This window comes from Homo sapiens, chromosome 2, assembly GCF_000001405.40.
Source record: "Homo sapiens chromosome 2, GRCh38.p14 Primary Assembly".
Taxonomy (NCBI): Eukaryota; Metazoa; Chordata; class Mammalia; order Primates; family Hominidae; genus Homo; species Homo sapiens.
The window spans coordinates 230,984,368-230,999,380 of record NC_000002.12 but is presented as its reverse complement, the minus strand read 5'-3'; the positions used below and the strand labels follow the sequence as shown (position 1 = coordinate 230,999,380).

Below are 15,013 nucleotides of genomic sequence, written 5' to 3'. Positions count from 1 at the left end.
CCAGGCAATAAAATTCACCCTTTTAGAGTGCTCAGTGGTTTTTAGTATATTCACAAAGTTTTGTGGCCATCACCACTAATTTCAGAACGTCTTCATTTCCCCAAAAAGAAACCCCATCTCCATGAGCAGTTACTCCCCACTCTCCCATTTCCCCCAGTCCCTGGCAATACATTTGCCTATTCTGAACATTTCATGTAAATAGAATCATTCGATGTGTGGGTTTCTGGGAGACTGGATTCTTTCACTTAGCCAAGTGTCTATAAGGTTCATCCAGGCTGTACCATGTATCAGGACACTATCTCTTTTTATTGCCAAATAGTATTTCACCATACTCATTGTACTGTGGTATTTCATACCACATTTTGTTTATCCATTCATCAGCTGATGGACATTTGGGTTGTTCCCACTTTTTGGCTATTACAAATGCTGCTGCTTTGAGCATTTGTGTACAAGTTTTGGTGTGCTTCTAATATGCTTAATAAGATGCTTCGAATTCTCTTGGATGTATACTGAGAAGTGGAATTGCTGGGTCATAAGGTAACTTCATGTTCCTCTGAGGAACCACCAGACTGTTTCCACAGCAGCTGCACCATTTTACATTCCCGCCTACAGTGTATGAGGATTCCAGCTTCTCTACATCCTCACCAACACTTGTTATTGTCCATCCTTCTGATTATACCCATCCTAGTGGAAGACTGGCATTTTCTTGAGCTACAATATTTCTGCACACAAAAAGGCTTGGATTTTAGAAAATGGCACGCTTTACTTGCAGGCCCTCATCCTTCATCTCCAACATTCCTTTCTACGCAGAGAATTCCTTTGGAAGAAGTATAGGGTGTCTGCTGTAACCACTGGCGAGCCACCACCATTTCTTGCTTTCTTGCTTTGCCTGTTCAATGGGCCAAATTCTTCTCTGAGTATGAGTCACATGTGTTCATTAAAAGACTTGGGAATGGAAAGTCTTGCTTTCTACCAGTACTGAAGATGCCAGTTCTGAAGATCATAACCCAGAAATGTTTCTCTCACTGGCTGATGATCACAATCTTTACAACATATAGTATGGTGCTCAAAATCAATATCATATGTCAAGAAAGGTTTGATTCCTGGCCATGGAAGGATCATTGGCATGGCATGCCTTATATTTAGCACTCTCATCTCCATCACTTATTTATTTTATGCCCACACAATCCCGGGGGGTAAACTGTGGCCCAGGGAGTGTGGCCTGTTCAAGGCTATGGAGTCGTGGGCACTGGCTCATGGCAGATCCAGGAGATGCTCGGACAGAGATGTTCTTCCTCTTGTGGAGACTCCTAGGCCTCTTGGAATGGAAAGGTCAGTGCTGTGGTTTAAAGTGAGGGTTCTGGAGTCAGAATAGAGTGGGTTTCCCTTCTCAGGGCTACCAGCGTCTGCTCAGGAGCAACCTGTTTGACTCCTATGAGCCTCAGTTTCCCCATCTATAAAATGGAGATAATATGGAAGAACTTTTATAGGATTATCACGTGTGAAAATTAAGACACCTGATCTGAATGCTAGGTACACAGTAAATGCTTAGTGATAATGTTAGTTTGCTATCACCATTATTGTTAGTAGTATAAACCAGCCCACCTCCTGAACTCCACTTGAATTCCCTCTACACAATCCAATGCTTATACAGACACTGTTTGGCTCCCAAGAAGACAGGGAACCACTTTTCCTGACAGCCATTCCATTTTCAGACAGAGCTAATTGTTGGGAAGTTTTTTATGTTGAGCCGAAGGCTTTCTGTCACTAATGTCTTCCATGGGTAAGATTGCTAATTTAGCAAATAAAAATATAGGATGCCCATGCAATACTGGGGACACACATACTAAAAATATTATTTGTTGTTTACTAAAATTAAAATTTAACTGAGAGTCTTGTATTTTGTCTGGCTATCCTATCCATGGGCCTGTATTTGTCTGTTTTCACACTGCTGATAAAGACATATCTGAGACTAGGCAATTTACAAAAGAAAGAGGTTTGTGGAACTTACAGTTCCACGTGGCTGGGGAGGCCTCACAATCATGGTGGAAGGTGAAAGGCACATCTCACATGGCGGCAGACAAGAGAAGAGAGTTTGTGCAGGGAAACTCCCTTTTTTAAAACCATTAGATCTCATGAAACTTATTCACTATCACGAGAACACCACGGAAAAGACCCTCCCCCGTGATTCAATCACTTCCCACTGGGTCCTTCCTACAACACCTGGGAATTCAAGAAGAGATTTGGGTGGGGACACAGCCAAACCACATCAGACCCTTAGATCTCTGAGGACAATAAGGAACAAGTCTATTCACATCTTCCACTTGACAGACAGACATCCTCCAATTCCTTCAATTGACTGTCATACACTAAATGGTCTCCCTGATCCTTCTCATCCTCCATCAACCCAGACTATCTTCCTTGGACTAGTTTGTCAGGCATCTTTTACAGCCCAAAAGGATAGCTTGATGAGGACAGAATAAAGCAGTATCATCACCTCCCTTATTCTAAACCATATACTTCTATAAATGCATCCTTGGTTTTTATTTTTTAGCAGTTGCATGGCACTGCTGATTCCTAGTGAGCAAGTATTACTATGGAACCAAGTTAAATGTTTATATGTATGTGTGGCTGTCTTCAGTGAGACTCAGGATGATGAGAAATGACAAAACCCAGGAATCCTGGTCTCTTGGGTAGAAACAAAAACAAAAACCTTCCCACTCTACAGCACAGCTCCAGGATACACGTTAACCATGCATCACTATCCTACAAGAACCAGCCTTTGGGATGACCCAGAACTCCATCAGCAGGAAGGCTGGAACTGCTGAAGCTAGAAGACAGCCCACCTGCTTTCCTGGATTGAGGGGCTGCCTTCACGTTAGCATCTGGAGATAAAAGGCAGCAAGAGGAGCGGCGGATTTCGGGTGCTGGAAGGGCTTGGAATGCTGGCTGCCGGGAGGTGGTTTCAAGGCTGGAATGCTGTGGTGTGGATTCAGGGCTAGGCTGCTGTGGTGTGGATTCAGGACTAGGCTGCTGTGGTGTGGATTCAGGGCTAGGCTGCTGAGAGGTGGAATTGGAGCTAGCATGCTGGGAGGTGGAGTCTCGGTGGCGTCTGGCCTCTGACCTTTTCTTCTTGACCTTCTTCATGGTAGATCCTCCCAACCTAAACGTGGACCTACATGGAGCTGCGTAATCTCCCGGCTCCCTCCTGGAGGGGCCGTTTGCCCTCTGCCCTAGGAGCCTGGCTTGGGCCTCCAGCTGGACCCAGGCCCCACAGAGAACAGTGACCCACACCTCCTGTGAGGTCATAAAAGCCAGGGTGGCTCCTATGGCAGGGCTTCAAGGGACAGTCTTCTCTGCAGACACCAGCCTGGTGTCCTCCTTCATCCCAGGCTGCCAGGCTAGGCAGGGGACAGCGGCTGCCCTGGTCCTCACAGCCCTGGCTACGGGGCTGGTGACAGCCAGATCCTCATGCTTCTGCGACCTGAGCGCTGCCTTCAGACACCTCTCTGCTGGCGTGTTCCTGGGTCCATGTGAGCTACCTGTTTTGCTCTAAGATACCCTGGATGTGACGCTCAGCTCTGTCACTGGCTTCCACATACCCCCTACTCCTACACCTCAAAAATCCATGTTCCCCACGCATTCATCTTCAGGTCAGCTTCCTGAAGATTTGGAGCTTCTTCGAAGGCTTTACCATGGCCCAGAGCCTGCTACCATCTCAGAGTAGCTTACCCCTTCCCCCAAAGCCTGCCCTCCCGCACTGTGGGAGGGGAGTTTGGGGGTTGACTTGACTTTTATAAGAACCTTTGCATTTGGCAGATAATTTTCCCTGAGAACATAACAGCTGTTCAGAAAACTAACATTTGTCTCAAACTCATGGCAATGGCAACCACAGACTATCTCCCAAACCCCAATTGGTTGGGTTAAACAGGTGACTGAATCTTTCTCTAGATTAATTAATTTAATGTGCTCATTAAATGTGATTTTTGTTTTAGGATGGAAGAAGGAAAAGTATTTTTAAAAGACAATCTGAAGCTCATACTGTGACTGCAACATAAAATGTGTTCACCTGAGGAGACTGCTTTCATCGCCAGTGTGTCACAGGTGGGTGAGTGTGGGACTGGCAAGCGCAGGAGCTCCTGCCCCAGCGGAAGGTTTAGAGCAGACCTATGCAGATAAAAAGGGCTTCGGTCACGCCTGTAATCCCAGCACTTTGGGAGGCTGAGGCGGGCAGATCACGAGGTCAGGAGATTGAGACCATCCTGGCTGACATGGTGAAACCCCGTCTCTACTAAAAATACAAAAAATTAGCCGGGCGTGGTGGTGGGTGCCTGTAGTCCCAGCTACTCGGCAGGAGAATGGCGTGAACCTTGGAGGTGGAGCTTTCAGTGAGCCGAGATCGTGCCACTGCACTCCAGCCTGGGCGACAGAGCGAGACTCTGTCTTAAAAAAAAATGGGGGGCTTTGGGCCACACAAAGCCAGACCCAACATGAACTCTGAAATGACAGGACATAGTTTAGGGCTTCTAGAGCCTAAAAATACCTTAATGATGACCTTTCCTCAGAACACTGAGGTTTAGCGAAATTAAGTTACTTTCCCAGGGTCACACAGCTGGCTGGGGGCATCGGAAGGACTAAATTCCAGTTTGGGGCTCATTATTTTCATGATCCCAGAAAACAATAGGGAGTCAGATAATTATACAGGCTTTGAAATAATGAATTAAAAAGTCCCCCAGTGGCCTGGTGCGGTGGCTCACGCCTATAATCCCAGCACTTTGGGAGGCTGAGGCGGGCAGATCATGAGGTCAAGAGATTGAGACCATCCTGGCCAACCAACATGGTGAAAACCTGTCTCTACTAAAAATACAAAAATTAGCTGGGCATGGTGGTGCACGCCTGTAGTCCCAGGTACTCAGGAGGCTGAGGCAGGAGAATCACTTGAACCTGTGAGGCGGAGGTTGTGGTGAGCCGAGATTGTGCCACTGCACTCCAGCCTGACGACAGAGTGAGACTCGTCTCAAAAAAAAAAAAAAGGTCCCTGAGCGAGAAGATTGAAGAAAACAAAGGCAGGAAGGATCAGAAGTGAAGGCAAGCTCAGCTCAAGAGTATTGGGTTGTGTTTGGTTGACCTTGGCCTAAGGAGGCTCTGGGAGCAAGTGAATCTGTATGAAGCTGGTAATTTCCTGAAGCCAAGAGCAATGGAACCCTTGAGGGGACTCCATTTAGAATCAGAGAGACTGGAAACCGAGGCCGGGAACCCTGTTGAGATCTAGCAGACAGCTCAGGAACTCCTAAGGCATTAATCTCTGCAAAGTTGGATTTTCAGGTACCAATGGGCTTCGGCCGAGGGCCTCAACCTGGTTTAAATCAGTGTTTTTCAACCTCAGCCCTGTTGACATTTTTGGGCTGAGTAATTCTTTGTTGTGGCGGGTCATCCTGTGTATTGTAGGAAGTTTACCAGATCCCTGGTCTTTACCCAGTCTTTACTCCCCCCTACCCCAGGACAACCCAAAATGTCTCCAGATATTGCTAAATGTCCCCTAGAGATGGGGTAGGAGTGTGTGTGTCCACATTGCCCCTGATTGTGCCATGTTGGTGTAAATGAATCAGATAGGAGCAGACACATATAGGTAGAACTTCCTGGTAGCAATGAAAGAAATATTCCATTTTACCAGAAGGAGCCAAACAGGGCACAGAGAATGAGTCTCTGTCTTCCTGTAGAAAGATGGAGGAAGCACAGAGGGCAGGCCGAGGGAGGAGTGGGGAATTTCTCTGTGGCAGCAGCAAAAATATGTGTGAATTCTTTAGTAAGAGTGGTCCCAAGAAGCAGAGAGAGGGCACCTGTGGAAAGAGGTTGTCCCAGAAGAATGAGGAAGAATGGTCCCTCAATAGCTCCTTGCTAGAACGTCTTCCCTGCAGCCCCCACCTTCTTCTTCTTCTTCTTTTTGTTTTTGTTTTCAGAGTCTCACTCTGTCTCCAGGAGTGCAGTGGCCCAATTTTGGCTCACTGCAACCTCCACCTCCCGGGTTCAACTGATTCTCCTGCCTCAGCCTCCCGAGTAGCTTACAGGCATGCTCCAGGCTCCTGAGTAGATTACAGACATGCGCCGCCATGCCTGACTAATTTTTATAGTTTTAGTGGAGACAGGGTTTCACTCTGTTGGCCAGGCTGGTCTCGAACTCCTGACCTCAAGTGATCTGCCTGCCTTGGCCTCCGTAAGTGTTGGGATTACAGGCATGAGCCACTGCGCCTGGCCCCACTGCTTTCTGTTTGAGCACCTGTTCCTATACAGGAAGCCTGGCTCTTCCATAATACAGCCACAGCCCACTGCCCAGTGCTTATCAGCCACTACTACTACCTGTGTCCAGCTCTAGCTAACCGTGAACATCAGAGATCTCATGAACAGGCTGAACATTCCTGCATTTTCAGAAGCCCTTCTCCTCTATCATCCCTCTCTGCACCTCTACCAAAGCATTTTCTGGTCAAGCCCTATCTCAAGTGGATAAATCTCTTCATAAAGCCTTTCTAAGCTGGGCACAGTGGCTCATGCCTGTAATCCCAGCACTTTGAGAGGCTGAGGCGGGCGGATCACCTGAGGTCAGGAGTTTGAGACCAGCCTGGCCAACATGGCAAAATCCTGTCTCTACTAAAAATATAAAAAAATCAGCTGGGCATGGTGGCACACGCCTGTGGTCCCAGCTACTCAGGAGGCTAAGGCAGGAGAATTGCTTGAAACCCGGGAAGTGGAGGTTGCAGTGAGCGGAGATCGCGCCACTGCACTCCAAGCCTGGGCCACAGAGCGAGACTCCATCTCAAAAAAAAAAAAAAAAAAAAAAAGCCTTTCTTGAGATCTCCAACTGGAAGCCATCCTTCCCTTGCTGCTGAGCTCCGGGGCACCTCTTTGTATGAGACTGGTCATATTCTGAACGGCATTAGAATTATTTCTGTCTCTGCCTTCCCTCTCATTCCCCAACCCCAGATGGTGGAAACCTCAGAAGGCCACAGTCCAGAGTAGGGGCTTAATGCAAGCTGCTGGAACTGAATAAAGGTAAAGTTAGGACAGAGAAAGCAGGAAGCTGCGACAGCAGGAAGCTGTGATGGGGGCAGGTGGGCATGTGGGATCAGGCACCTCCAAGGCTTCATCACCAAGGGGGTGTTTTCAAAAATGGACTGGGACTTCTCTGGCCTTGGCTGAGGATCACAGCTGGACTAGTCCATGGGCAAGGGAGTTTCCTAACTAGGGATGCCAGTCATGTGAAAATGCAGTAGACTAGGTAGGGGAAGGGAATTGGAAATTAGATAGTCAGAATAAGGTCTTGATGGGGTGAAAATTTCCTCCCAGAAGGTCTCTGATGGTTCTGGTTTCCTGGGCACCTAGAATAAGTGTGTCACCATTTGTCCTGAAGCTGACTTCTCTGAGCTGGATGGCACCCTGGACATCAACCAGCCCTTCACCTTCACGTCACACAGGAGGGACACTGGTCCATAGAGAGGATGCCTGCTCTGGTCACCAGCTGGAGAGTGGCAGACCTTGGGTACCTGACCTTTGGACTCTGCCACACAGAGCACTTCCTCAGTCCCTCCTGCTGCCCCTGGCAGGGTGGAGCTGGCAGGTAGGTTGCGGGACTTGGCGCTCCCTCAAGATCTCACTGCCCAGGGACCTTAGACTGACAAATTAATCCCGTGGGCCACAGGCCTGGTCTCCATAACAGAAAGGGTCTCAAGAGTTGCGAAGGAGAATCCTGAAGTCGGCCAGCTAGTCTAGCGGAGTTCCACCTGAGAGGGTTGCCATGAGGATCCAGGTGAAAAGCCCTTAGAACAGCGCCTGACTCACAAAAGGCGTGCTTTTAGTGTTATTATTCTTCCCTGGAGAAGACTAAAGAAGCAAGCAAGGGAGAGGAGGATGTGGAGAGGAGGGAGTGGGGCCCCGTTTCTACAAAGTCCCAAATCAATACCTTACAAAAGCGTGACCCCAAGTCATGGGAACCGATGCCCCAAGTTGCATGTGGGGCCAGTGAGTGGGGGTCGTAGCCCTCCGAATTAATTCGAACACCTCTGACGCTGAGATTGCCCCAGTGAGCACACCGGGAGGAACTCTAGTTCCTTACCACCCAAAACAGTACCCAAAACTCCTGGAGGCGCCAGGAGAGAGGCCGTGACTCCGGGGCTTTGTCCTCTACCCCGCGGGGCGGCAGGGTCGGGGTCCAGGGCTGCGTGTTTGAGCGTTCTCCGCCCCGGGGCTCCCCCCTCCCCGCGCCGACCCCTCACCATCGGTCTGCGTCTCCCGATCCATCAGGGAGACCCTGTGCACTTGCTGGCGGCGCGCTTGGAAGTCCAGGGTGCCCTCGGGGCGGCCGGGGCAGAACACGGCCGTGTGCACCTCCACGGCTGGGCTGTGCGGCGCGAGGACTCGGCTGAGCAGGGCCTCCATGCGGCGGCGCGCCTCGGCCTCCTCCTCCTGCTGCGGCTGCACCACGATCCCCACGAGCGCGGCGGGCGGACGTCGGTCCCGGGCGTGCTGCTGTTGCAGGAGCAGCTGCAGCCGCAGCAGCTGCGTGAGGAGCGCAGACGCGCGGCACAACACCAGGAGCAGCTGCGCGCCCCGCTCAGGCGGGTGCTGCGGTGCCCCGCGTGCAGACGCTGTGTCCTCTGCCGCGGAGGTGGGGGTCCCAGGAGGAGCCCCTGGCGCCTCGCGCGGGTCCTCGGCCTTGGGCTCCGAGCGCCGCGACTTCTTGGTGAAGCGCTTGGACTTCGTGGCCGGGCAGTCGTCGCAGTTCATGGAGCTGTCGCCCCAGCGCTTGGACCGCCGTGCGGTGCAGTTGCTGGCGCTGGTGTGGCCGCTCATGGCTCGGGCGGACGAGGGCCTGGGGAGCTGATCGGCTGCAGTGTCTCCTGGAAAGCTCTGCAGGCTCAGGCCGTCCTCATCCTGCTTCCAGAGCCCGCTGATCAGCAGCACCTGGCCGTGGCCCTCGACAGACTGGGCCGGGGCCTGTGGCTGCGCCTCCGCCTTCCTCTCCTGGGGTGCCCTGCAGGGCTGGGCCCCAGGCCGCTGCTCCATGTCCGGCCCGACACCCTCGCCCCTCTGGGCTCGGGCTTCCGTTGGGAGGGAAAAGCTGCCCTTCTCCGGAGCATGTCACAATACCCCTGAGCCCTACCTTTTCCTGTCGTGGCCAAGCACCTCCGCCCCGCTATTCCTTGGAAATCTAATATATAGGAAGTTGCTGTTGGACGCTGGTATAACGCCGACTGTGTTCAGTTTCTCCATTTTCTACTTTTGTGGTTTCAAAAGGTGCATCCTTTTATACCATGGATAAATCTTCGTCCCCAAGGCTCTAAGTAAGGCGAATTTTTATGCACCCGGGGCATTTAAAAAGCAGTGGACCAGATCTCATTGCACCCGCAACTCTTGAGAATCAGCGAAGAGTGGCGGCCTGGGTGGCTGGGCCCCGGCTCGGCCAGTCGGCTCTCTGGGTGATTCGGGCGCCGGAGTCTTGCGCTATTACGATATAAACGGGTGGTGTTGCCCGAGATGATTTTGGGCCCCCTCAGTTCCAGGCTTCTGTGGGTACCAGCGGCCTGTCAAAACGCCAGGAAAGGTCCTCAGGAAAACAAGACAGAAAGCATAGAACTCGTTTGCTGCCCAGCACGCGGGGTGAGCAGAGTGTCATGATGAGGCAGTACGGAGGGAACAAGGACGGTCACAGAGACTGGAAACCCAACGGTGGGGAAAGTTGTTCCCTTTGTTATTTTTCTTAAAATGAGCTTTACCAAGTTATGCTAAATTATTTTTAAAAATATAAACATAAAAAACTCTGAAAAGCAGGGTGTCAAACAGAAAACTCTGAGCTAGAATCCCGCTAAAAACTCCAGGATCCTCGGGCGCGGTGGCTCATGCCTATAAGCCCAGCAATTTGGGAAGCAGAGGTGGGAGGATTGCTTGAGGCCAGGAGTTCAAGACCAGTCTTAAGCAATATAGTGAGACCCCCATCTCTACTAAAAATACAAAAATTACTCGAGCCTGGTGGTGTGCCTGTAGTCCTAGCCATTCCCGAGGCGGAGGCAGGAGAATTGCTTGACCTGGAGAGGCAGAGGTTGCAGTGAGCCAAGATCACACCACAGCACTACAGCCTGGGCGACAGAGCAAGCCTAAGTCTCAAAAACAGACTAAACAAGTCTGCTGGAGTGCAGTGGCGTGATCTTGGCACACTGTGAGCTCCACCCCCCAGGTTCAAGTGATCCTCCTGCCTCAGCCTCCCAAGTAGCTGGGACTACAGATGCCTGCCACTCCAGCCTGGGCAGACTTGGTCTAAAAAAAAAAAAAAAAAAAAAAAAAAAAAAAAAAAAAAAAAAAAAAAAAGAAAGATGGATGCTAGACTTTCATCCAAGATAAATTAGACCTGACAACTTCACCATACAGGAATTGGCCTTTCCACAGGTTTACCCTAGTGTGGGAGTCTCAAGATTGAGATTACTAGGGGAGGTAGGAGGCCCTACCTGGGGCTGGGGCTTGCTTTTTGCCTTCTCTAAACCAGCTTTTATCAACATATCCTAAACTGGGGAGTACCAGGAAGGAATAGAGGTTCCAGACTCCCAAAACATGGATTTGAGCTACTCTGTCCCTCCTGACTGGGGTAAAGGAGCCCTAGTGTGCTGTCTTGTTCATTGTCAGTTCAACCTGCAGTCGGACAGTCATTGAAGAACCCTTGTACTAACTGTCTGACACGTTGGACTACCTTTAATCAGCCCCTGGCACACTGAAGCCATGGAACGGGGAGAGGAGCAGAGAGAGGTGGTGGGACTACCAGTCTCAGTGCGACCTCAGGGAGGGGATGATCCAGATGGCAGGGCTGCCAGCCTCAGTGTGACCTCAGGGAGGGGATGACCAGGCTGGAGTTAAGCCATCCCTAGGGTTCCCTGGGTCCAGCCCTTGCAGGGGCTTTTTTTTGTGCATGGTGGGGTGGGGGGAGACACTAAAGGTAAGAAGTGGCACTAAAGGCAGAAGCTCTGTCAGCTGGTGTTCAGAATGAATACCAAGACTCCTGGGCATGCACTTGAAACACCACGATTATATCTAAGTTGGTGTAACAAAGAGATCCAGAGATACGTTGGGTTAGGAATATTTATTTCTGCAGATGTCAGTGGTTCTGGGGTGTCAGGAAGGCTCTGCCATCCTCAATATGTGGCTTCCTTTCCTTTCTCCAGGGCAGCTGATCCAGGACCGTCCACTTCCAAGCCAGCAGGAGGATGGAAAAGCAGAATGGAGGGGAAACAACCTCCTTTGCAGGGCGTGACTCGGAAGTTGGACACATCATTTCCAGCCACATTCCATGGACCAGAATTAGCCCTGTGACCAACTCTGGCTGCCAGAAAATCTGGGAAATACAGTCTCTGCTTGGGCGATCAGGCAGGCAGTTATATCTTTGGGAACATCTCTCACCCCCTGGGAACACCTGAGCAGAAACTGAAGGACATTTAACAGATTCTCCTTTGTGTCTAATAAGAATTGCCCCCATCAGTCGGGGCTGTCCTAGGTGCTGGGTACATAGGTCATCTATACACAACCCAGCAATGGAGAGCACACCATTCCCAGGCTGCAGATGCAGAAACTGTGGCTCGGAGAGTTAAGCGTCTTGTTCAGATTCAGTCAGCTGGTAGATGGCAGGTCTGGGATTGAGACCCAGGCCTGGCTGGTCCTGCCAGGACACAGTATCACAGCTTTGACTGGGAGCTTCTTTTTGTTTACATATATTTTTTATGCTCAATGTGCATTCCTTTTGAAATACACAGAAAAGGGAAAGAAGCCGGAGTCCTGCCTTGTGTAGGAGGGATAAGTTAGAGGTGTGCACCGGGATAAATCTGCCTCCCGCGCTGGCCCTGGCCCTGGCCCTGGCCCTGGCCCTGGCCCTGATCCTGCTCCTGATTCTGGTCCTTGGGGCCTGGGCGGCGATTCCCGGCGCTGGCTGAGCGTCACCGGCCACCAGAGGGCGCTGCCGGGCTACCGGTCCGGTCGCCCGGGGATCACAGCCTCAGCGGACAGGAAATGATCAACAGCTTCTCCTCTCGGATCCACGTGGACTCAAGGAATCTCCGGGGGGCAGGACAGGTGCAGAGCCGAGTGCAAAGGTGGAATTCTATTCCCAAAGCACATCCCGCGCCCCTTTCCTCTGCAAAGTCCCGGAACCGCGTGACTCCGGATGAGTTATCGGGGCTGGAACCGAGGGTTCAGCCCCCTGCGCCTCTGTGTGTCCCGGTCCCTTTCCTCCAAGTAGACAGGAGGCATCTCCTCATCGGCTCAGTTCACATTCCTCCAGGGGCTCAAAGGGGACCCAGTCCCTGTCTTGGGACACCAAGTCAGGCAGACTCCAGGAGAGAGGAAGGAAGATGATTCCCGCGCTCAGGTAGGGAGCCCCTCCAGGAAGAGAGAAATGAGGGGTGTACAACGTGAGAGTGGAAATGCTCAGAAATAGTCAATGGCCTGGGCAGCTGAGCTTTCGTCCACGCCCTGGCACAGTGTGTGCGGCACAACAGAGGTGTTCAGTGAACGTTTTTCATTCAATCAACAAACACCCTGAGTGCCTCCGTGTGCAGGTCCTGGGCTAGGCTCTGGGGATGAAGTCCCTGCCCCCTGGAGCTTATACTCCGGTAGGAAAGAGTAAACAAGGTCGGCCACTACTATAACCTCACATGGCGCTGAGCTCTAGAGGAAATTAAAGCAAGATAAGGGCGCCCAATCCAGGGCTTATATTCCCCCAACCCCCACCCCCAGTCCAGCCCGGCAGTGATGCAGGGGGAAGGGGGCAGGGGTGTGGGGGGTGAAGAGGGCAAGGAAGCCACCCCCATCCTCTGGGCACAGCCAACAACCCCCAGTTTTATACAGGAGAGGCTTCTTGGGGAAAATGTCATTCCAGGAGCCCTCAAAGTGATGGGATCCACTGACTGGAAAGAGAAAAAGGTCCAAGAAGGAGGAATTCAAGCCCCTGAGGCCCCTTTGGGTAGAACAGGGCAGGGAAGAGCCTCAGGGTCGCACAGCCTGGAAGCCGGAGGGCAAAGAGGAGGAGATGGAGAGCCAGACTCCCGGAGAACCCCGGAGGGCCTTGGAGGGGCCAGGGGTGGGGAAGTGGGAGGATAATTTTATGCATCAATTTGGCTGGACCACGGTACCCAGATATTTGATCAGCCATTATTCTAGATGTATCTGGGAAAGTATTTTTTGATAAGAGTAACATCTGAATCAGTGGATGAGTGCTGAGTAAAGCAAATTACCTCACCAGGTGGGCGGGTCCTGCTCCCTCTGTTGAAGACCTGAAGACAAAGATTGACCCTCACCCTTCACCTCCCACCTCTTCCTCACCTTGGAAAAGAAAAACATTCCTGAGAGGGGGGATTTGTCAGCAGAAGGCTTTGGGACTAGAACTGCAGCATCAGCTCTTCCTGGTTCCCCAGCGCCCAGGCCTACCCTGCAGATGTGGGCTTACTGGCCTCCACGATCAGTGAGCCGGTTCCTTAAAATCAACCTCTCTCTCTTCCTCTGTCTCTCCCTCTCTCTCTCTCCCTGTCCACATCCCATTGGTTCTGTTTCTCTGGGGAAACCTGACTAATAAGGGGACTCTCAAGGCCCTGGCTGAGGATGGCAGGCCTGAAGATTCTCTGAGGCATTCAGCATTGAATGAGCACCAGCTGGGCGTGGAGCTGTGTCAGGCGCTGGGCACAGGACTCAGCCCCGGAACCAAGTGTGGGCCCACATGGTGTGGGCCTTTGTCTGTCCCTGTCATGGCTTTGGACACACGCGTGGCCCAGAGGGGACAACGGATCTGGGTGGCGAGGTGGGAAAGCTCACCCCAGTATTCCTCTTGGTGGCAGCAGTCCCTTAAGGGGTCGCCTGAGTCGTGAGACCCACAGGTGTGGACCTCCCCCCCCCCTTCCTCCCCTCTCCCCCAGTGACTTTATCCAGCACCTGCCCTGCCCAGCCTTGCACAGGTTACCCTGTGACCCACTCACAGGGAGATAGGGCAGCTTCTTTCTGCCCTCAGGAGCCTTGTTCTCAAGGCAGCTCATCCAAGAGAATAACATACAGTAGATTGCCACACACATGACTGTGGCTTAGTCCAGGAAAGCCACTTATAAAATCCGGAGGTGAAGGAAGAAAAGATTGAAATCTCTGTAACAAATCCATTTCCCTCCTCCCTCCCTCCCTTCATCTCCAAAGTAGACCTGCCCCAGGGCCAGGGATCCTCTCCCTGCAAGGCTAGGTAACAAGCGGATTTTTGCTTTTGAGCTTCAAGGTCCTGGCTTCTGGTGGTTTATAGGTGATCTTTGAGGGTGGTTTTGACGAGAGGCTTGTTAGCTTCTCTACGCTTTTGAAACGCCCACTCTCCCCACAAGAATCTGGGACTTTGCAGAACCGGTCCAAGGTGAGAGTAGGATTAATTGCCAAATGAGTTTTCTCATAAGCCTGGGGTCCAAAGTACATTGGACAGCCAGCAAATGCTTATGAGGGGTTTGAACAAGTGAAATCAAGGCTCAAGGTCATAGGACTCAATGGAGAGTGAGGCAGCTGGGATCTGGGATGACCGGCATGGGCCTCAAAGCAGGGGGCTTGGAAATAGGCCCTGAAGAGGGGGTCGCTTGCGTGGCTAGGAAGGGGTTGGGGCCCACTAGCATTTCTCAGAATGCCTATTTTCTTCGGCAGTGAGAGCTGGAGGGAGGGATGGGTTTCTCAGCACAGTTCCAGTATGAGTGGCTGTCACCACAGGGCGCCATTGCCAAGTCAGAAAGAAACAAAGCTTAACCGCTGCCTCCTGTCCCCCATGGTCTGTGAAAGTCTCATACTGTAGTGCGTCTAATGGTGGCCCCCCAAAAGATACATCTACATTATAATTCCTGGGACCCAGAAATGTGACCTTATTTGGAAAAAGGGTCTTTGACCTTATTTGGAAAAAGCGTCTTTACAAATGTAAGTGACCTTATTTGGAAAAAGTGTCTTTACAAATGTAATTTACAACATTGAATGAGCA

The 15,013-nt window shown here is 51.4% G+C and overlaps 1 protein-coding gene and 1 long non-coding RNA gene across 15 annotated transcripts in view, besides 4 other annotated features; one reads left to right on the top strand and one right to left on the bottom strand.

Annotated features, from left to right (window-relative positions):
* The window catches only part of SPATA3 (spermatogenesis associated 3), a 23,989-nt gene extending 20,729 nt beyond the window's left edge, over window positions 1-3,260 (bottom strand). For all 14 annotated transcript variants that reach the window (XR_007069642.1, XR_007069640.1, XR_001738624.3 and 11 more), the window contains exon 1: window positions 2,847-3,260. Coding sequence is in view for 5 of the 14 variants with exons in the window: in XM_047443398.1 (XP_047299354.1) it covers window positions 2,847-3,147 (301 nt within the window). In the remaining 9 variants the exon portion in view is untranslated. The remainder of the gene's footprint in view (window positions 1-2,846) is intronic.
* Window positions 3,216-3,749: an enhancer, noted in NCBI's record as "H3K27ac-H3K4me1 hESC enhancer chr2:231860347-231860880 (GRCh37/hg19 assembly coordinates)". NCBI's record gives its function as "activates a minimal SCP1, AML or CMV promoter by ChIP-STARR-seq in primed H9 embryonic stem cells {active_cell/tissue: H9 hESC(primed)}" and the evidence as "EXISTENCE:reporter gene assay evidence [ECO:0000049][PMID:30033119]".
* On the top strand, window positions 3,349-15,013 carry SPATA3-AS1 (SPATA3 antisense RNA 1). The gene is made up of 6 exons (NR_033879.1): window positions 3,349-3,533; window positions 3,996-4,104; window positions 6,979-7,047; window positions 7,406-7,612; window positions 11,202-12,397; window positions 13,271-15,013. It is a non-coding gene; the product is annotated as an SPATA3 antisense RNA 1 (long non-coding RNA).
* Window positions 11,712-12,211: an enhancer, noted in NCBI's record as "H3K4me1 hESC enhancer chr2:231851885-231852384 (GRCh37/hg19 assembly coordinates)". NCBI's record gives its function as "activates a minimal SCP1, AML or CMV promoter by ChIP-STARR-seq in naive H9 embryonic stem cells {active_cell/tissue: H9 hESC(naive)}" and the evidence as "EXISTENCE:reporter gene assay evidence [ECO:0000049][PMID:30033119]".
* Window positions 12,613-12,662: an enhancer, noted in NCBI's record as "active region_17273". NCBI's record gives its function as "activates an Ori minimal core promoter by ATAC-STARR-seq in GM12878 lymphoblastoid cells {active_cell/tissue: GM12878}" and the evidence as "EXISTENCE:reporter gene assay evidence [ECO:0000049][PMID:35858748]".
* Window positions 13,716-13,900: a silencer, noted in NCBI's record as "fragment chr2:231850196-231850380 (GRCh37/hg19 assembly coordinates)". NCBI's record gives its function as "represses an EF-1alpha promoter that drives an FKBP-Casp9 reporter gene in an ReSE screen in K562 erythroleukemia cells {active_cell/tissue: K562}" and the evidence as "EXISTENCE:reporter gene assay evidence [ECO:0000049][PMID:32094911]".